Source organism: Homo sapiens, chromosome 21, assembly GCF_000001405.40.
Source record: "Homo sapiens chromosome 21, GRCh38.p14 Primary Assembly".
NCBI lineage: Eukaryota > Metazoa > Chordata > Mammalia > Primates > Hominidae > Homo > Homo sapiens.
Genome location: NC_000021.9, coordinates 29,000,241 through 29,021,550, shown reverse-complemented (window position 1 = coordinate 29,021,550; position 21,310 = coordinate 29,000,241). Strand labels below are relative to the sequence as shown.

General features: G+C 45.6%; 1 protein-coding gene and 1 long non-coding RNA gene across 3 annotated transcripts, besides 3 other annotated features; one reads left to right on the top strand and one right to left on the bottom strand.

Moving 5' to 3' along the window:
• Window positions 1–222: 222 nt before the first annotated feature.
• Window positions 223–3,965, bottom strand: LOC124905005 (uncharacterized). The gene is made up of 2 exons (XR_007067836.1): window positions 3,304–3,965; window positions 223–2,638 (listed from the first exon to the last, which is right to left on the bottom strand). It is a non-coding gene; the product is annotated as an uncharacterized LOC124905005 (long non-coding RNA).
• Window positions 2,112–2,361: an enhancer, noted in NCBI's record as "active region_18327". NCBI's record gives its function as "activates an Ori minimal core promoter by ATAC-STARR-seq in GM12878 lymphoblastoid cells {active_cell/tissue: GM12878}" and the evidence as "EXISTENCE:reporter gene assay evidence [ECO:0000049][PMID:35858748]".
• RWDD2B (RWD domain containing 2B) lies at window positions 2,202–17,167 on the top strand. Of its 2 annotated transcripts, NM_001320724.2 has the most exons (6): window positions 2,202–2,340; window positions 11,859–11,956; window positions 12,930–13,156; window positions 13,244–13,311; window positions 13,428–13,790; window positions 14,900–17,167. In NM_001320724.2, exons 3-6 carry the CDS (start codon window positions 12,950–12,952, stop codon window positions 15,132–15,134), a joined length of 873 nt encoding a protein of 290 aa, NP_001307653.1. In that variant the 5' UTR covers window positions 2,202–2,340; window positions 11,859–11,956; window positions 12,930–12,949; the 3' UTR covers window positions 15,135–17,167. The 2 variants fall into 2 exon arrangements, with proteins under 2 accessions (NP_001307653.1, NP_058636.1); NM_016940.3 differs by lacking the exon at window positions 11,859–11,956.
• Window positions 8,707–9,287: an enhancer, noted in NCBI's record as "NANOG-H3K27ac hESC enhancer chr21:30384585-30385165 (GRCh37/hg19 assembly coordinates)". NCBI's record gives its function as "activates a minimal SCP1, AML or CMV promoter by ChIP-STARR-seq in naive H9 embryonic stem cells {active_cell/tissue: H9 hESC(naive)}" and the evidence as "EXISTENCE:reporter gene assay evidence [ECO:0000049][PMID:30033119]".
• Window positions 18,509–18,618: an enhancer, noted in NCBI's record as "active region_18326". NCBI's record gives its function as "activates an Ori minimal core promoter by ATAC-STARR-seq in GM12878 lymphoblastoid cells {active_cell/tissue: GM12878}" and the evidence as "EXISTENCE:reporter gene assay evidence [ECO:0000049][PMID:35858748]".

The window sequence follows — 21,310 nt, the reverse complement described above, 5'->3', positions numbered from 1 at the left end:
GGGATTACAGGCATGAGCCACTGTGCCCGGCCCATAATTTTCTTTTATTTTTACCTTTATGTTTAGCCCTCTTCATACATACACAGAAATGTGCAAATATAAGCTCTTTGAGAGATGCGACATCTTTGTCTTGTTCATGGCTATAATTAGTACCTGGAAATGCCTGGAATATAGTAAGTGCTCGATAAATATTTATTGAAAAGAAAGTCATGAGCAATAAAATGCTATATAAGAACGTTCACAGCAGCTTTATTTATAATAGCCAAAAAACTGAAGACAGCCCAGGTTTCTATCAAAACAAGAATGGAACTGGTATATTCATATGATGGAATACTACTGAGCAATCAAAAGAAAGTGATACACATGATATCAGATGAAAATATTACCCTGAGTGAAAGAACCCTTACACAAAAATATCTATTGCATGACTCCAACCATATGACGTTCTATAACAAGAAAAATAAGTATGGTGGGGGAAAAAATCAGAACAGTGGTTACCTTTGGGGAGAACTGGTTGGGAACTAAGAAAGGGCATGAAAGAACTTTCTAGGGTGATGGTAACGTTCTATATGTTAATATGGCTTGAGTTCCATAGGCGTGTGCATTTAAAAACTGATGTGTATTTAAGGTATGCATTTCATTTTTACCTTAAAAAATCCTTAATTTGAACTCCAATGATGTGCATTAGAGGTACTTAGAAGCGTACTGTCTGCAGTTTACTTTTAAATGTATGAAAACAGATAGATTGATGAGGTATGTGACAAAGCTGGTAGAGTAAAATTCTGTACTCTCCAGGTCAGTGTTTTTCAACCTCAACACTATCAACATTTTGGACCAGCAAATTTGTTGTTGTCGGGGGATGTCCTGTTCATTGTAGGAAGTTGAGGAACATCCCTGTGCTCTACCTACCCCATGCCAATACCATCCTTCCAGTTGTGACAACCCAAAATGTCTTCAGACACTGCTAAATAGAGGGGAAATCCATCCTTCCCCTTCTCTTGAGGTCTGCTCCACTGTAAAATTCTCTCGACTTCGCTTTACACTTGAATTTTTTCATAATAAATGTTGGAGGAAAAAATAAATTATGACATTGAAAAACGCTCATGAAACACTATGCAGAAGACGTAGTTTATGAAGACCTACAATACATACTGTCGTATTTTTGTTTAAAAAAAAAAAGTGGAGGGGAGACCTAGCAGTGATATTTAGTATTGCTAAATGTCAATGTTTACAAATCTTATCTATGACATTTCTAAAATGAATATTATAAAGTGTATTGCATATAGTTGGATTGGGAAGAAAAACATTTCTAATTATTCTCCTGTCAGCATCTCCTTCAAACTACCCTTTTATTAACAGGGATAGATATGCATTCACACGGTTCCTCCCAGCTTGGTTAATGGGCAAGAACACCTAAGATAGCCAAGGCCACCATGCATCCAGGCTCACATCTCCCTAATTGCCCTCCTCCATGATTCAGGGACAAGGAGGATCACCATCGTGTGGGAAGATACTAGAAATGTAGAATTTGGAACCCCACCCCTACCTACGGAATCCTGATCTGCACTTCAACAGGATCCCCGAACTATTCCTAGGCGCGTTCGAATTTGAGGAACATTAACGGACCAATTCTTTGTCCCTGAAAAGTGCCCGTTATAGAGGCGGCCGCTGGGAAATGACAACGGGGTTGGCATGGAGAGGTATTAAGTAGAAAAACTCCGGCCGGGCACGGTGGCTCAGGCCTGTAATCCCAGCACTGTGGGAGGCCGAGGCCGGTGGATCACCTGAGGTCAGGAGTTCGAGACCAGCCTGGCCAACATGGTGAAACCCCATTTCTACTGAAAAATACAAAAATTATCTGGGCATGGTGGTGGGCGCCTGTAATCCCAGCTACTCGGGAGGCTGAGGCAGGAGAATCGCTTGAACCCAGGAGGCGGAGGCTGCAGTGAGCCGAGATCGCGCCACTGCACTCCAGCTTGAGAGACACAGCGAGACTCCGTCTCAAAAAAAAAAAAAAGGAAGAAAGAAAGAAGAAGAAGAGAACTCTGCGACTGAAAAGTACCTAGCAGGGACAACGCATTCCCTACGTCCTTCCAAGTGCAGACACCAACACCGGCGGACGCGGCTCCCAACAGGCGAGCCCCAGCTTCCGGTCCGCGGCCTTGGACGCGCATGCGCCGCATGCTTTTTTTTTTTTTTTCCGGTAGGTCGCCAGCTGAGGCGGTTTGTAAGTTTTGGGTCGCAGTATGCTAGAATTTTGAGGCTCCCTTCTGATGAAAATTGAGCTGTCCATGCAGCCATGGAACCCGGGTTACAGCAGTGAGGGGGCCACGGCTCAAGGTGAGTCTCGCCTCAGCTAGCGCCAGTGGTGACCGCCACGGGGGTTTCCCACGCTGCAGCGCCCAGTGCAACCCTTTGGGAACGTGCCCGGCATGGCGGCCCCGGTTCCCCTCACTGCATGCGCCCATCGGTCGGCTCGGTCCTCGGCGTTGCTTCCCGGCTTCTGCAGCCCTGCTCCAGCCGGGGACCTCGCCCCGGGGGCAATCAGGGTGCGAGGGCGGCTGCGTGCTGGGCTTTCTTCCTGAGAGCGTCTTGGCTTGGGTCGCGGGGTACCCTGCTCTGTTCTTCAAAAAAAAATCTGCAAGGAAAAGATATTATTCCACTCAGAAATCTCAAGTTTCAGTCTGCGTTCTCTTAAATATATTTTATTTTTTAAAAAAATAATAAAGGCGAGCTCTTACTATGTTACCCAGGCTGATCTTGAACTCCTGGGCTCAAGCAGTCCCCCTTCCTCTGCCTCCCAAAGTGCTGGGATTACAGGCGTGAGCAATCGCGCCCGGCCACAGTCTATTATCTTACAGCATTCGCTGAAATCTTGAATCATAAAATTATCTTGAGGGTTTTTTGGAAGGACTGAAATCTCTTAAGCGAAAATAATTTGGCAGATAAATGACCTGTGACATCACTCCCGTAGTTGTCCGTTCAAGAGTCCCTCCGTCCCGTTCTTCTTTGCTAATCCCATTTCATCTTCGATACCTCCAATTCAATAGCACCCTCTCCCAACTTTACTCACTCCCTGGGAGACTTTAAACAAATATATAGTTCCAAATAAGTGTTGACTCCCAAGATTATATATCTAGCTGAGTCTCTCGTAGACTTCAAAACTATACATCTAACTGCCTGCTAGACCTCTCTATTTAACAGGTGTCTTAGTAGGCACTTCATTACTTGTGTCTAAAACCAAGCTTCAGCTCCCCATGACCATCAACGTCTAAATAAATGGCAGATCCATACTTTCAGTACCTTAAAGCCCCGGAGTCATTCTTCCGTGTCTCATGTAATTCATCTGTAAATCCTGTTGCCTCTGTTCTCTGCATGTATCCAGAACCTGAAGCTCACCAACTTGACCACTATAATCCTATCAAAGCCACCATCATCTCTCCCTAGTTATTGCGGTGTCTATATCTGGTCACCCCACTTTTCCTTTCACTTTTCTCCATAGCAGCAAGTGTGGGGATCTTCATAAGTCAAACCTCTCTTGTAGCTCTTACATGTCAGTCGGGATAAAATTCAAAATTCTGGCCATGCTTTACTAGTCCCAACATAAACTGCCCCACATTTCCTTACTAAACTCTTCTATTCCCCGTGTCCTCAGCTCACTGTGCTCTGGCCAGCTGTTCTAGCACCCTCCTTCCTCAAGGCCTTTGAATATGCTGTTCGCTTTCCCTTGAACACTCTTGGCCAAGAAAAACACATGGCCTCCTTTTTCAGTTCCTTAAAGTCTCTTCCCTACAGTCACCTTAGGAGAAAGGCCTTTCCTGACAATGCTGTGTGCAGTCTCACCCCTGCTGCCTCATTGTTTCCCTTATCCTTGTTTTCTTTTTCAGGTTTCTTCATAGCAGTTATTCACTGGGTACAAAAATTCTTTTTTGTTTTTTTTTGAGACAGTCTTGCTCTGTTGCTCTGGCTGGAGTGCAGAGGTATGATCTTAGCTCACTGCAACCTCCGCCTCCCCAGTTCAAGCGATTCTCCTGCCTCAGCCTCCCTAGTAGCTGGGACTACAGGCGTGGGCGACCACACCTGGCTAATTTTTGTATTTTTAGTAGAGATGGGGTTTCATCATGTTGGCCAGGCTGGTCTCAAACTCCTGACCTTAGGTGATCCGCCCACCTCATCCTCCCAAAGTGCTGGGATTACAGGCGTGAGCCACCACCGCACCTGGGCTGGGCGTATAAATTTGTTTTTGATGTCATGGTATCCTCCCACCAGTAGAGTTGTTTTATTACTTTCATTCATTGTTATCTTAGTGCCAGTGCTTGAACGTAAGTGCTTGAGAAACATTTGTTGAAATGATGACCAATAATAATAATAGTAATAAGCAGCCGGACACGGTGGCTCATGCCTGTAATCCCAGCACTTTGGGAGCCCAGGGCGGGTGGATCATGACGGCAGGAGTTCGAGACCAGCCTGGCCAACGTGGTGAAACCCCGTCTCTACTAAAAAACCCAGAAAGCAGAGGTTGTAGTGAGCCGACTCTGCACTCTGGCCTGGGTGACAGAGCTAGACCCTGTCTCAAAAAAAAAGGTTTTTTTAATTAATAATAATAGTAGCAAGCACGCATATAAAATTTACTGTTGCCAGGCACTTTCCACAAATTCTCATCTAATCATCACAGCAACCCTCTCATCCCAGTTATGGAGTTGGGGAGACTAAAGCACAGATAAATTAAGCCACTTGCCTAAGGTCCTGCAGTTGGTAAGTGGCAGAGCCAGGAGTCGCACCTTGGCAATCTGGTAATAGAATCCAAAAACACTGGTAACAGAGCCACGCCAACAAAAAAACAAAGTAAACCATTTCCTCTAATAACCACCCAAGTAGTTGTTTTTTATGTTTCTCAACTCCAAAACAGACCAGCAAATATGTATATGGAATTCCAATAAGTCCAGGGATTTTAAGTATGTATGAGGATTTTGTTTAAAAAAAAAAAGGCCGGGAGCAGTGGCTCATGCCTGTAATCCCAGCACTCTGGGAGGCCAAGGCGGGTGAATCACCTGAGGTCGGGAGTTTGAGACTAGCCCAACTGACATGGTGTAACTCCATCTCTACTAAATACAAAAAATTAGCTGGGTGTGGTGGCGCATGCCTGTAATCCTAGCTACTTGGGAGGCTGAGGCAGGAGAATCGCTTGAACCTGGGAGGTGGAGATTGCAGTGAGCCGAGATTGCACCATTTCACTCCAGCCTGGGCAACAAGAGCGAAACTCCGTCTCAAAAAAATAAATAAATAAAAAATCGGAAAAAAAACAAAAGAAAACATTGCGATTAAAGGAGGGAGGAATATTTGCAGTTCCAACAGTTATTAGAAGAGGAAAACTTCAAATTAAACATGAATAGACATATTAATAAATATATGTTAATATATGTATAAATATTATCAAGGCTACCCACCATCTTTTATGATACTTTAAATGCTTATATTTAAACTACTTAAATTCAGGTAACTACATGGCAAAATAAGGAATCCTGCTCTGTTCTGTGGAGAGGAGGGCTAATGTCATTTGGCCTGGAAAAACATGTTCTGGAGTCAGACAGAATACTGAACACCCCTCTTGGAAATTCACAGTTTAAGACTCTGAGAAGTCACAAATAAGAATTGTGCCCATATAGTCTCTCGCCTAATTAGGATTGCTTTTGTCTAGGATAAATACCTAAACCATATGGGGCTGGGCATGGTGGCTCACGCCTGTAATCCCAGCACTTTGGAAGGCCAGGGTAGGTAGATCACCTGAGGTCAGGAGTTTGAGACCAGCCTGGCCAACATGATAAAACCCTTTCTCTACTAAAAATACAAAAAATTAGCTGGGCGTGGTGGCGAACACCTGTAATCCCAGCTATTCGGGAGGCTGAGGCAAGAGAATCACTTGAACCCAGGAGGCGGAGGTTGTGGTGAGCCAAGATTGTGCCATTGCACTCCAGCCTGGGCAACAAGAGCAAAACTCCATCTCAAAAAAAAAAAAAAAAAAGACTAGGTGTGGCGGCTCACACCTGTAATCACAGCACTTTGGGAGGCCAACGCGGGTGGATCACAAGGTCAGGATTTCGAGACCAGCCTGCCCAACATGGTGAAACCCCATCTCTACTAAAAATACAAAAATTAGCTGGGCGTAGTGGTGTGCGCCTGTAATCCCAGCTACGCAGGAGGCTGAGGCAGGAGAATTGCTTGAACCTGGGAGGTGGAGGTTGCAATAAGCCAAGATTGCACCATTGTACTCCAGCCTGGGTGACAAAGTGAGACTCCCATCTCAAAAAAAAAAAAAAAAAAAAAAACGCATCATAATCAAACTTCTGAAAACCAAAGACAATGAAAAATTCTTAAAATTAGTGACAAAAATGAACCTTATCTGTAAAGGAAAACAATTCAAATGAGAGTGATTTCTCATCAGTCACCAGAGAGGCTAGGTGAAGAGGCACAGCATTTTTCAATTGTTGAAAGTAAAAACCTGTTAAGCCAGAATACTGCATCCAGTGAAAATATTCTGCAGAAATGAAGGGGAAATCAAGACATTCTAAGATGAAGGAAATCTAGGAGATTTGTCACCAGCAGACCTATCCTAAAAGAATGGTTAAAATAGGTTCTCTAAACAGAAAAGAAATAATAAAAGAATTATTATTAAAGAAATATAATTTAGACCTATTTTATTTTACTTTATTTATTTTTATTTTTTTATTTTTAGAAGGAGTCTCGCTCTGCCGCCCAGGCTGGAGTGCAGTGGCTGTATCTCGGCTCACTGAAAGCTCTGCCTCCTGGGTTCACGCCATTCTCCTGCCTCAGCCTCCTGAGTAGCTGGGACTACAGGTGCCCGCCACCACGCCCGGCTAATTTTTTGTATTTTTAGTAGAGATGGGGTTTCACCATGTTAGCCAGGATGGTCTTGATCTCCTGACCTCATGATCTGCCTGCCTTGGCCTCCCAAAGTGCTGGGATTACAGGCGTGAGCCACTGCGCCAGGCCATTTAGACCTATTTTAGGACTGTTAAGACTGAGATGGTCTCTGCTGTGGTTTAATGTGTGCCCCAAAGTTCATGTGTTAGAAGCTTTATCCCAAAGCAATAGAGTTGAGTGGTGGGACCTTTCAGAGGTGATTAAGTGATATGCAGGGATATAACAAAAAATGTAACATTCCTGTCATCAGCATTTCAGAAGAAGAGAAAGAAGGCAGGGTTGAAAAAGTTCCCAAAGAACAGGGCCCTCACAAATGGATTAATGGTGTTACTGCAGGAGTGGGTTAGTTATTGTGGGAGTGGGTTCCTGATAAAAGCATGCATTTGGCCCCTTCATCTCTCTTGCACTTGCTCTCATTCTCTCTTGCCCTCTGCCTTCCGCCATGGGATGACTCAGTAAGAATGCCCTTGCAAAATGCAGGCACCATTCTCTTGGATTTCCCTGCTTCCAGAACAATAAGCCAAATAAATTTCTCTTCATCGTAAACTACCCAGTCTCAGGTAGTCTGTTATCGTAACAGAAAATGAACTAATATAACATCCAATAGAAATATACAGATATAGTTAAATTTACAAATATGGGGCTCGAGAATTTGGAACATCCTAAGAATTTGAGAATTGTGAACATTTAATATTCAGTAATACTTGGTACCATGAGACAATAGAGAAGATAAAGATGTCCTCAACCAAACCTTAAGGGATGCTAACATTTTAAAGATCTTGCTTGGCAGTAGTATGGTATGGCATATAAATTATACCTCATTAAAGCTATTAAAAAAACTACTGAAGGGAAAATTCTACGTTATAAACATATCGTCTTTTTCTGTATTAATCTTTAATTTCTTTTTTTTTTTTTTTTTTGAGACGGAGTCTCACTCTGTCGCCCAGGCTGGAGTGCAGTGGCGCGATCTCGGCTCACTGCAAGCTCCGCCTCCCGAGTTCACGCCATTCTCCTGCCTCAGCCTCCCGAGTAGCTGGGACTACAGGCGCCGGCCACCACGCCCGGCTAATTTTTTGTGTTTTTAGTAGAGGTGGGGTTTCACTGTGTTAGCCAGGATGGTCTGGATCTCCTGACCTCATGATCCGCCCGCCTCTGCCTCCCAAAGTGTTGGGATTACAGGCGTGAGCTACCGCGCCAGGCCTAATCTTTAATTTCAATGCAATTACCATTTTTTCTTGTTTTCAAAACTTAACAAAATTATTCTAATGTTTATATGTGAGAAAAGCCAGGAAATACCAAAAAAGAATTCTAGAAAAGAAGAGTGATGGCTATGAAGAGACAGAGTAGGAGCAATTTACTAACCCATCATAGTGATTTCAAGAGTTGAGTATTAGTTAGCTGGGTATGGTGGTAGCATGACTGTAGTCCCAGATACTTGGGAGGCTGAGACAGGAGGATTGCTTGAGCCTAGGAGTTCGAGGCTGCAACGAGCTATAATCGCACCACTGCACTCCAGCCTGGGTGACAGAGTGAGACTCTGTCTCAAAAAAAAAAAAAAAAAGAGTATTAGGACATGATATTATAGACAGATCAATATAACAAAATGGAGAATCCAGAAAAAGACTCAAATACATATAGGCACTTAACATATGTTGAAAGAAACATTTCAAATTTATTATAAGATGTACTGGTAAAAATGGCTAGTTAACTGGAAAAAAAAAATAAGCTGGAAACTTCCGTCACCTTTTAAAGTGAAGTATATCCCAGATGGATCAAATATTTAAATGCAGAAATTGAAAATGTATTCCAAATAGAAAATAGAAGACTTTTTTTTTTTTAATTGATCATTCTTGGGTGTTTCTCGCAGAGGGGGATTGGGCATGGTCACAGGACAATAGTGGAGGGAAGGTCAGCAGATAAACAAGTGAACAAAGGTCTCTGGTTTTCCTAGGCAGAGGACCCTGCGGCCTTCCGCAGTGTTTGTGTCCCTGGGTACTTGAGATTAGGGAGTGGTGATGACTCTTAAGGAGCATGCTGCCTTCAAGCATCTGTTTAACAAAGCACATCTTGCACCGCCCTTAATCCATTCAACCCTGAGTGGATACAGCACATGTTTCAGAGAGCACAGGGTTGGGGGTAAGGTCACAGATCTACAGGATCCCAAGGCAGAAGAATTTTTCTTAGTACAGAACAAAATGAAAAGTCTCCCATGTCTACCTCTTTCTACACAGACACAGCAACCATCCGATTTCTCAATCTTTTCCCCACCTTTCCCCCCTTTCTATTCCACAAAACCGCCATTGTCATCATGGCCCGTTCTCAGTGAGCTGTTGGGTACACCACCCAGACCGGGTGGTGGCCGGGCAGAGGGGCTCCTCACTTCCCAGTAGGGGCGGCCGGGCAGAGGCGCCCCTCACCTCCCGGGGGGGGGCTGACCACCCCCACCTCCCTCCCGGACGGGGCGGCTGGCCGGGCGGGGGGCTGACCCCCCAACCTCCCTCCCGGACGGGGCGGCTGGCCGGGCAGAGGGGCTCCTCACTTCCCAGTAGGGGCGGCCGGGCAGAGGCGCCCCTCACCTCCCGGACAGGGCGGCTGGCCGGGCGGGGGGCTGACCCCCCCACCTCCCTCCCGGACGGCGCGGCTGGCCGGGTCGGGGGCTGACCCCCCCACCTCCCTCCCGGATGGGGCGGCTGGCCAGGCGGGGGGCTGACCCCCCAACCTCCCTCCCGGACGGGGCGGCTGGCCGGGCAGAGGGGCTCCTCACTTCCCAGTAGGGGCGGCCGGGCAGAGGCGCCCCTCACCTCCCAGACGGGGCGGCTGGCCGGGCGGGGGGCTGACCCCCCCACCTCCCTCCCGGACGGGGCGGCTGGCCGGGCAGAGGGGCTCCTCACTTCCCAGTAGGGGCGGCCGGGCAGAGGCGCCCCTCACCTCCCGGACGGGGCGGCTGGCCGGGCGGGGGGCTGACCCCCCCACCTCCCTCCCGGACGGGGCGGCTGGCCGGGTGGGGGGCTGACCCCCCCCACCTCCCTCCCGGAAGGGGCGGCTGGCCGGGCGGGGGGCTGACCCCCCCCCACCTCCCTTCCGGACGAGGTGGCTGCCGGGTAGAGACGCTCCTCACTTCCCAGACGGGGTGGCTGCTGGGCGGAGGGGCTCCTCACTTCTCAGACCCAGCGGCTGCCGGGCGGAGGGGCTCCTCACTTCTCAGACGGGGTGGTTGCCAGGCAGAGGGTCTCCTCACTTCTCAGACCGGGTGGCCGGGCAGAGACGCTCCTCGCATCCCGGACGGGGCGGCAGGGCAGAGGTGCTCCCCACATCTCAGACGATGGGCGGCCGGGCAGAGACGCTCCTCACTTCCCACATGGGATGGCGGCTGGGAAGAGGCGCTCCTCACTTCCTAGATGGCAGGGCGGCTGGGCAGAGACGCTCCTCACTTTCCAGACTAGGCAGCCAGGCAGAGGGGCTCCTCACATCCCAGACGATGGGTGGCCGGGCAGAGACGCTCCTCACTTCCCAGACGGGGTGGCGGCCGGGCAGAGGCTGCAATCTCGGCACTTTGGGAGGCCAAGGCAGGCTGCTGGGAGGTGGAGGTTGTAGCGAGCCGAGATCACGCCACTGCACTCCAGCCTGGGCACCATTGAGCACTGAGTGAACCAGACTCCGTCTGCAATCCCCGCATCTCGGGAGGCCGAGGCTGGCGGATCACTCGCGGTTAGGAGCTGGAGACCAGCCCGGCCAACACAGCGAAACCCCGTCTCCACCAAAAAAATACGAAAACCAGTCAGGGGTGGCGGCGCGCGCCTGCAATCGCAGGCACTCGGCAGGCTGAGGCAGGAGAATCAGGCAGGGAGGTTGCAGTGAGCCGAGATGGCAGCAGTACCGTCCAGCTTCGGCTCGGAATCAGAGGGAGACCGTGGAAAGAGAGGGAGAGGGAGACCATGGGGAGACGGGAGAGGGAGAGGGAGAGGGTTTTTTTTGGTTTTTTTTTTTTATTTTTATTTTTTGAGACGGAGTTTCACTCTTTTTGCCCAGGCTGGAGTGCAATGGCACGATCTCAACTCACTGCAACCTCTGACTCCCAGGTTCCAGTGATTCTGTCTCAGCCTCCCAAGTAGCTGGGACTTCAGGCACGCACCAACACACCCGGGTAATTTTGTTGTATTTTTTAGTAGAGACAGGGTTTCGTTATGTTACCCAGGCTGATCTAAAACTCCTGGACTCAAGCTATCCACCCTCCTTGGCCTCCCCAAGTGGTGGGATTACAGGTGTGAGCCACCGTGCTAGGCCAAAAGGAACTATGTATTAAGAATTTTCTTTTAAAGAAAAGAAGCAGGGGACTGAGTACAATTGTAAATTTCTGTTCTGTATGGCAACTTTCTGGAAAGTAACTTGGCAATATCTATCAAAATTTAAAATGTACATGTTGATACAACAATCCACCTCTGTAAGTTTATTATTGAATACACAGTATTCAGTTTACCATACTATATATATAAAAAGACCTTGCATTATAGGATTGTTCATATTAGTAAAAATGTGGAAACAACCCAAGTGTCCATCAATAGGTAAAGAATTAAATAAGTTATGGCATATCTACATGATTCAGTATAACAGCCGACAGTTACAAAGAATGAGGTAGATCACTATATGTTGACAGTGAATAGATCTACAAAATATATTTGGTGGGGAGGGAGATAGGAAATAGGAGGAAAAAGTATATATTATCCCCTTTGGATTTAAATATGTATACTGTATATATCTCACATTGTACATATTTATACATTATACCAGCATTTTTCACATATATATATGTATAATGCTTAAGATGTTTTAATGTTAACAGGGGTGACTTAAGCTACAGGACAATTAACACTTATTTTCTCTTTATGTTCCTCTGCTTCTTAAAAACTAATAAATAGGCCGGGCGCAGTGGCTCACACCTGTAATCCCAGCACTTTGGGAGGCCGAGGCGGGCGGATCATGAGGTCAGGAGATCAAGACCATCCTGGCTAACACGGTGAAACCCCATCTCTACTAAAAATACAAAAAATTAACCGGGTGTGGTGTTGGGCGCCTGTAGTCCCAGCTATTTGGGAGGCTGAGGCAGGAGAATGGCGTGAACGCGCCGAGGTGGAGCTTGCAGTGAACCAAGATTGCGCCACTGCACTACAGCCTGGGTGACAGAGCGAGACTCCGTTTCAAAAAAAAAAAAAAAAAAACTAATAAATGCCATGCACAGTGGCTCATACCTGTAATGCTAGCACTTTGGGAGGCCAAGGCAGGAGGATTGCTTGAGCCCAGGAGGTCAAGACCAGTCTGGACAACATAGCAAGACCTTGTTTCTACAAATAAAAAATGAAGCCGGGCGTGGCAGTGCATACCTGTGGTCCTAGCTACTCAGAAGTCTGAGGTGGGAGGATTGCTTGGGCGTGGGAGGTTGAGGTTGCAGTGAGCGGGGATCATGCCACTGCACTCCAGCTGTGGTGACAGAGCTAGACCCTGTCTCAAAAAAACCTAATAAACATTAATATTTACTTAAAAAGAAGAAATTGACCATCCACGTAACCAAACTCTCTGACTGACTTTGTTCATTCTAGGTTTCCAGTGTAACCAGTCATATCCTCTCTTCTGGCTACATTATTGATACAGCTTTTTGACTACATAATTGGTTTACTTTGATGAAATTGCCCATTATGGTAGCTCAAGTTGTCCACTCAACTATCTAGACACAGAAGAATGTGGTGTCTACTTACTATTAAGAGTTTTTTTGTGTTTGTTTTTTTATAGATGGTCTCAGTATGTTGCTCAGGCTGGTCTTAGCATAGGACTTAGCATATTATATCTGAAAGTAGAGTAATAGGGAAAGAGACTAATTAAATTGTACAATTTATGAAGAAACCAAGTACAATTTTAGTAAGTACACATGTTGATGTATTCATTTCTTCCAAGATTGCATATGTAAATTGTCTCTCTTATCTTTACCTCCTTAGAAACTTACACATGTCCAAAAATGATTGAGATGGAGCAGGCGGAGGCCCAGCTTGCTGAGTTAGACCTGCTAGCCAGTATGTTCCCTGGTGAGAATGAGCTCATAGTGAATGACCAGCTGGCTGTAGCAGAACTGAAAGATTGTATTGAAAAGAAGACAATGGAGGGGCGATCTTCAAAAGTCTACTTTACTATCAATATGAACCTGGATGTATCTGACGAAAAAATGGTAATTCAGTTTTGCTTTTAGAGGGATTGAAACATGTTGAGACTTAAAACATTGGTTAGTGCACTTTTTCTTCTTCTCTTTAATCAGGCGATGTTTTCTCTGGCCTGTATTCTTCCCTTTAAATACCCGGCAGTTCTGCCTGAAATTACTGTCAGGTACGTTACAGAAGCTCTGGCCAACTTTGGAGGTCAAAATTAATCTGAGAATAAAAGCAATTCTCGAATTTGTTTTCTGTTCCAAGACAATATTTTTCTTGTATCTTTTCTATTAGATCAGTATTATTGAGTAGATCCCAGCAGACTCAGCTGAACACAGATCTGACTGCATTCCTGCAAAAACATTGTCATGGAGATGTTTGTATACTGAATGCCACAGAGTGGGTTAGAGAACACGCCTCTGGCTATGTCAGCAGAGATACTTCATCTTCACCCACCACAGGAAGCACAGTCCAGTCAGTTGACCTCATCTTCACGAGACTCTGGATCTACAGCCATCATATCTATAACAAATGCAAAAGAAAGAATATTCTAGAGTGGGCAAAGGAGCTTTCCCTGTCTGGGTTTAGCATGCCTGGAAAACCTGGTGTTGTTTGTGTGGAAGGCCCACAAAGTGCCTGTGAAGAATTCTGGTCAAGGTTTGCTTTTACATATGTATATGAAGTCATGTCAATAATGTTAATACTAAACAAGATACAGTCATGTGCTGCCTAGTGACGTTTTGGTCAACAGTGGACAACACATAAAACAGTGATGCCATAAGATTATAATGGAGCACATATAGAAACCTGATATATGGCACTTGATCTTCCCACTATTGAATATCAGAATGATATTCAGTAATGGTGCTGGGACATTTGGTTTTCTATATGAAAAAATATAAATGCAAAAAAAGTACCATCTAGGTTTGTGTAAGTACACTCTGTCGTGGTGGTACAACAACAAAATAGCCTAAAGATACATTTCTCAGAATGTATCCCCGTTGTTAAGCAACACATGACTATTAGAGATGTGGAGATAAGTATGTCCCAGGGGTTGTGTCTTTATGGGGATTCAATCTCAAGTTGATGGATATGGCAGAAATCACATGTAGTCAGCATTTTCCCCGTCACCTGACAAGTGCATGTAGGAGACATTCTGTAAATATGCACTGAATGAATTGAGCTCCTGCCCCAGACACTATGACCCCATCCACTTCCATGGATCTGGTCCTTCCCTCATTTTAGTGATGCTGCAAACTGTATACCCTGTGAAGTAAGGAGCTTTCTAGAAGCATTAGAATTGCCACTAGTCTCATTTCTCTACTGATATACTAAATGAATTTCTGAGAAGGTCCATAGTAGTTTGGGATTCAGTAATTCCTACATTTCTAAACTACTGATACATGGCTGTAGTAAGGGCAACAAATGAGTTCAGAGATGAGATTATGACCAGAATCATATTTGATTAAAATAAATCCCTGTGAGATAAAAGTAGACTTCTTGGACGGGGTGTGTATGACTCACACCTGTAATCCCAGCACTTTGGGAGGCTGAGGCCAGAGTATCACTTGCAGCCAGGAGTTTGAAACCAGCATGAGCAACATAGCAAGACCTGCCTCTACTAAATCAATAAGTAAAAGTTATAAACATTTTAAAAAGTAGACTACTTCTAGGAAAAGGCATTGATAAATCTGTTTTATAACTTCTGTTTTAAATGCTCTAGAATATACATTTTGAAAATGTTTACTTTGGAAATTTCTTTTCAGACTCAGAAAATTAAACTGGAAGAGAATTTTAATTCGCCATCGAGAAGACATTCCTTTTGATGGTACAAATGATGAAACGGAAAGACAAAGGAAATTTTCCATTTTTGAAGAAAAAGTGTTCAGTGTTAATGGAGCCAGGGGAAACCACATGGACTTTGGTCAGCTCTATCAGTTCTTAAACACCAAAGGATGTGGGGATGTTTTCCAGATGTTCTTTGGTGTAGAAGGACAATGACATCAAGAGTAGTTGAAAGTATCTTGCCACTGTTGGCCTTTTGATTTTTTTTTCCCACTTTTTCTTGAAAGATTAAGTAATTTTATTTTAGTTCCATTCTAGAATGTTGGGGAGTGGGGCACAAGAAAAAATAGTATAGCTGAAATGCATCTGTTAAAAATGTCATGATTGAAAGCAGAACTGAGTTTCAAATTACAACCTTAAAATTGTTGTTAGATATTTCTTCACATATCAGCTGCCCATTTTGAAAAAGAAATTATCCATAAAGGTAATGTTGGTGCTCCAATTTGCCAGCCATTCCCAACCCCCTTCTCCCTTACCTGCCTTCACTAAAGAACCCAGAAAAGCTAATTGCTCCCCTTTCAGCCTCTGTTGCAACTAACAACTCTCAGTGGCCTCAGGACACAGCTTTGGCCTTGGGAATTCTGGGAAAACTTTTACTTCCTGATTAAAGATACATATGCAGCTAGGCCACCTCCTCCCCCCCTTACTGCCATAAACACCAAAGTGATGACTGGAGCTGGAGGAGTTATTTGAACCACGACGAAGGGCCAAGAGAACCACGAAGATGCCAGTTGCCACATTGTTGAGCTGCTGACCCAACACCAGCCATTGCCTGTCTCTAAACATCTTATGAAATAAAACCAGTTTTGTTTAATTTCTAGGCTTTTTTTTTAAATAGACGGAGTCTTGCTCTGTCGCCCGGGCTAGAGTGCAATGGTGCAACCTCCGCTCACTGCAACCTCCGCCTCCCAAGTTCAAGCGATTCTCCTGCCTCAGCCTCCCAAGTAGCTGAGATTACAGGCGCCCGCCACCATGCCTGGCTAATTTTTGTGTTTTTTAGTAGAGACAGGGTGTCACCATTTTGGCCAGGCTGGTCTTGAACTCCTGACCTCAGGTGATCCTCCCACCTCGGCTTCCCAATGTGCTTGGATTACAGGCATAAGCCACCGTGCCTGGCCAATATCTAGGCTTTTTACTAGCAGTTGAAAGCTAGTTTGTCAAATAGAGTTTTTCAGAGCTTTAGTTTTGCATTTACCCCAGCCTTTTGATACACAAATAGGTGAAGTTTTTCTGAAGTGGAGTTTGCAGTTCCCCACTTTTTGTATACTCACGCTCTGCCCCTGCTCCTGGGCTTGCCTCAGACAAGGCTGAGGCATTAGTAGGGCTTAAACTTTTTTAACAAGCCTCAACAATTCATCAAATTAGTAATTTAGAAAATTTGTTTGGCAAATTGTATTCTGACATTTTTTGTTCTGGAAATGGCTTTCTGTACATTTATTTTTGCCAAATTGACCTAGCATTAAATAAACACACCACCCAGTTTTTGAGGACCTCCATAAACCAGTTAGTTCCAAAAGCATTTATTATTTGCTAATTTGCTAGCATGCAGGTTGATGCAGGTTGATACCAGGTGTTGGATATTTCTTGACCAGTCAGACTTGGTTAAGGAATGGAGTTGGGGTGAGAGACAATGCATTAAGTTAGTAAAAGGTTGTAGGCAAACTATGCTTATCACAAAATGAATCAGTTAGTAAAAGACAGCATATATTATGTAATACAATGTAGAAATCTGAAGGAATAAAATGGAAGAAGGCAATGTGGATAGATCTTAAATATAAAGGTGGTTAAACATAAATGAGAATCAGAATGGTATTTAAAGCACAGTGCTTGTATTGGACCTAAATCTTATGTACGTCCCCAGATTTCCTCCCTGCTGCCCTGTCCTATCGCCCCGTCAGTTGCCCTGGAAATCCCAGTTCCTCTGCTGCCACCAGACAGCCAGGTGGACCAGTTGTGTGTCTAGTTTCTGATTCCTCCAGCGACTAACAGATTTGTATGAAATACCCTACAGAGAATGGAATCTGACATCCCTACCACCAAAGGGGGCAGATGATGCATATATTACTTTAAGCAGCTAAAGTGGCAGCTAAACTGCTAAAACTTTTTCAGTCTCTCTACATTATATTAAAAACCAGATTGCTATGTATAATATGCAGATCTCAAATGTCACATAAACACATAGAATGCAACAGAGTAGTTTTATAAGTTTTCTTTCCTGGGACATCTGTCAAATTTAGACATTTATGATTAAGTCATATAAGCCAGGGAAGTACAGATTTTCCAATCTTGTGATGACCAACTTCCTTTGAGAATGGATAAATGTAGTTAAATGTTAGAAATGTTAGAGTATAAACAATATAGCTTTCTTAGGTTTCTTTCTCTTTTTTTTTTTCTGGAGACAGAATCTGGATCTGTCACCCAGGCTGGAGTGCAGTGGCGCAATCTTGGCTTACTGCAACCTCCGCCGCCTGGGGTTCAAGCGATTCTCCCACCTCATTCTCCCGAGTAGCTGAGATTACAGGTGCGTGCTACCACGCTCGCTATTTTTTGTATTTTTAGTAGAGACAGGGATTCACTATGTTGGCCAGGCTGGTCTTGAAGTCTTGACCTCAGATGATCCACCTGCCTCAGCCTCTCAAAGTGCTGGAATTACAGGCGTGAGCCACCGCGCCCTGCCCAGTTTCTGCCAATGATTATATACTTGATATATAAACATCCTTAAATATAAAATGTTCCGTATGATTGCACATAAAAAATTTGTTCAGCAACGACAATTTGTCAACATATTAATGTAATAAATAGTTTGAACTGGAATCACCTATAAAAAATGATAAATCCTGGAAAGAAACCGTTTCAAGTCAAATTATGTTTAAAAGTTACATTTTTCTAAAGAAAACAAGTATAGGCAGGGAATACTGGCCACATGCCTTGTTTTTTTTTTTTTTTTTTTTTTTTTTTTTTTTTTTTAAGACGAAGTCTCGCTCTGTAGCCCAGGCTGGAGTGCGAGTGCGGTGGCGTGATCTAGGCTCACCACAACCTCTGCCTCCCAGGTTCAAGCAATTCTTCCTCAGCCTCCGGAGTAGCTGGGATTGCAGGCGCGCGCCACTGCACCCCGCTAATTTTTGTATTTTTAGTAGAGAGGTAGGTTTCACCATGTTAGCCTGGCTGCTCTTGAACTCCCGACCTCAGGTAATCCGCCCGCCTCGGCCTCCCAAAGTGCTATTTATTTATTTATTATTATTATTATTAAGAAAGATGCGTATCAGGGAAACTAAAAAAGACAGACTATGGGTGAAATTCCATAAAAGCGGCAATGCAGCCAAGGTTTAAAGGTATTTAAGGGCAGACGCAGAAATTACGTTCCCGCCCCACCCCACCCCCCCAGCGATAATTAGAACTACTTGGGAAAACTAAGTCCATAAAAACTCAGCAAAGGGGCACCACGAGCCTTCCACTTTAACACAATCTGCCAATCTGAAGCCATCAGATCCGGGAAGGGATGTAGGTCGTAATGTCCTTTGCCATCCCTGCGAGGGACAGAGCTGGGCGAGGAAAGATTCCAGATCAGCTTGGAAGTGTCTCCTGGCTGCCTACAGACACCCGGGTATCGCAAGGCGCCCAGATGCTCTGGGGCTGTCATTGACAGCTAGGCTTTCTCTTGTGACCGCGGCAGCTCCCGAGCACTCGCAGGCCTCACACGCAGCCTAAGAGTGCGGAGTGAAGCTCGCTATGCTTCGCGCGTGCGCCTTCCTGGGCCGGGGTGACCCGGAAGCACTAGCTCGTAAGTTGCCGGGATGCTGTGAGCACGGGGACTTATGAGCAGGTCGCGTCACTGCAGCTGCGAGCGCTGCGTTTCGGATTTCGGCAATAGCTTCCGACCCCGGGCTTGAGTCCTAAGCTGCGGACTCGCCTCCCCAGTGGGCATCTCGCAGGCCAGCCAGATGCTGCTTTGGGGCGGAGTTGGACTTTTTATTTTTTTGTTGTTGTTGACGCTTATTATCTTTTGGAAAAACAGGCATAGATCCCCATTCTCGGGACTTCCCAGATGTTGCTGCAACTGGGGGATTAGAGGAATGGTGCACCCTGGGACCCAGGTGGTGCCTTCGAAGTCCAGGGTGTTCCTCGATTTTAACCAGGGAATTACCGAAATGGAGGGTTTTTTCCCCACTGGGGCATTTGGCTTTTCAGATTTTGTAAACCTGCTTTCCCTTGTTCCTCCCACCAACAAATTATATATATTATTTATATGTTATATATAACGTATTACATATATGTATTATATATATGATTACACATAATATGTATCATTATAGGAAGAGTAGAAATAACTGGATTTTAAAGTCACCCACAATCCTGTGTCCAAAAAGACAATATTAAATTTTGGTTTTACATTTTATTTTCTAGTATCTTATTTTTGCATGTGTGTATATGCGGGGTTTTCTTTAAAAAAAAAAAAAACAAATTAGGCCGGGTGCGGCGGCTCACGCCTGTAATCTCACCACTTTGGGAGGCCAAGGTGGGTGGATCACCTGAGGTCAGGAGTTCGAGACCAGCCTGGCCAACATGGTGAAACCCTGTCTGTACCAAAAATACAAAAAATTAGCCAGGTGTGGTGGCAGGCGCCTGTAATCCCAGCTCCTCGGGAGGCTGAGGCAGGAGAATCGCTTGAACCCGGAAGGCAGAGGTTGCAGTGAGCCAAGATCACGCCACTGCACTCTAACCTGGGTGACACAGCGAGACTCCTTCTAAAAAAAGAAAAGGTGCAGCAATGACTAGCCTTGTGCATTCATTTTTCTCCCCCCCATCTTTAACACTTATTTCTTTAACAGAATTATGGAGCGACTATAATTGAAGATGGAAGTTTCGTGGGAAGGGATATTCAACATAGTTAACAACCAATATGACCTGATCACCATCCATTGGAATAGCCATATGTCTAGGGCTGGAATGGGGTTTTAGAAGCCTGATAAATCAGCAATTCACACTTTAGCCAGGAATCAGGGGGAGGTCAGAAACATCCTAGGGAAATGGGAAGGGCAATGAAAGAACATTTCAGAGGGTATCAGAGAATTTTACTATTCTAACACCCATTTAGTTAAACGTGTATAATAATCATCAGCCCAATTTGTATGTTTGCTATTGAAAAGATAAGGATTATAATCTGATTATCTTGTCCTCTTGTGTCCAGAATTGGTGGGTTCTTGGTCTCACTGACTTCAAGAATGAAGCCTCGGACCCTCATGGTGAGTGTTACAGCTCTTAAGATGGCACGTCTGGAGTTTGTTCCTTCTGATGTTTGGATGTGTTGAGAGTTTCTTCCTCCTGGTGGGCTCGTGGTCTCGCTGGCTCAAGAGTGAAGCTGCAGACCTTCGCAGTGAGTGTTACAGCTCTTAAGGCAGTGTGTCTGGAGTTGTTCGTTCCTCCTGGTGGGCTCCTGGTCTTGCTGGCTTCAGGAGTGAAGCTGCAGACTTTCGTGGTGAGTGTTACAGCTCATAAAAGCAGTGTGGACCCAAAGAGTGAGCAGTAGCAAGATTTATTGCAAACAGAAAAAAAAACAAAGCTTCTACAGTATGTAAAGGAACCAGAGCAGGTTGTCACTGCTTGCTCGGGCAGCCTGCTTTTATTCTCTTATCTGGCCCCACCCACATCCTGCTGATTGGTCCATTTTACAGAGAGCTGAGTGGTCTGTTTTGACAGGGTGCTGATTGGTGCATTTACAATCCCTGAGCTAGACACAAAGTTTCTCCACCTCCCCACTAGATTAGCTAGGTACATCCACACAAAGGTTCTCCAAGTCCCCACCAGAGTAGCTAGATACAGAGTGTCGATTGGTGCATTCGCAAACCCTGAGCTAGACACAGGGTGCTGATTGGTGTGTTTACAAACCTTGAGCTAGATACAGAGTGCCGATTGGTGTATTTACAATCCCTGAGCTAGACATAAAGGTTCTCCGCGTCCCCACCAGACTCAGGAGCCCAGCGGGCTTCATCCAGTGGATCCCGTACCCGGGTTGCAGGTGGAGCTGCTTGCCAGTCCCCCGCCGTGTGCCCGCACTCCTCAGCCCTTGGGTGGTCGATGGGACTGGGAGCCGTGGAGTAGGGGGTGGCGCTTGTCGGGGAGGCTCAGGCTGCACAGGAGCCACGGAAGCGGGGAGGGGAGGCTCAGGCATGGCGGGCTGCAGGTCCCGCGCCTTGCCCCGCGGGAAGGCAGCTAAGGCCCGGCGAGAAATTGAGCACAGCAGCTGCTGGCCCAGGTGCTAAGCCCCTCACTGCCCCGGGCCGGCGGGGCGGGCAGGCAGGCCGCTCAGAGCGCAGGGTCCGCCGAGCCCACGC

Excerpts from the sequence above, each read along its gene's own strand:
- RWDD2B (NM_016940.3), top strand. The coding sequence starts at position 2,274 with ATGAAAATTGAGCTGTCCATGCAGCCATGGAACCCGGGTTACAGCAGT. Across the intron at positions 2,341-12,929 it reads TGAGGGGGCCACGGCTCAAG|AAACTTACACATGTCCAAAA; the intron begins GTGAGTCTCGCC and ends TTACCTCCTTAG. Across the intron at positions 13,157-13,243 it reads ATGTATCTGACGAAAAAATG|GCGATGTTTTCTCTGGCCTG; the intron begins GTAATTCAGTTT and ends CTCTTTAATCAG.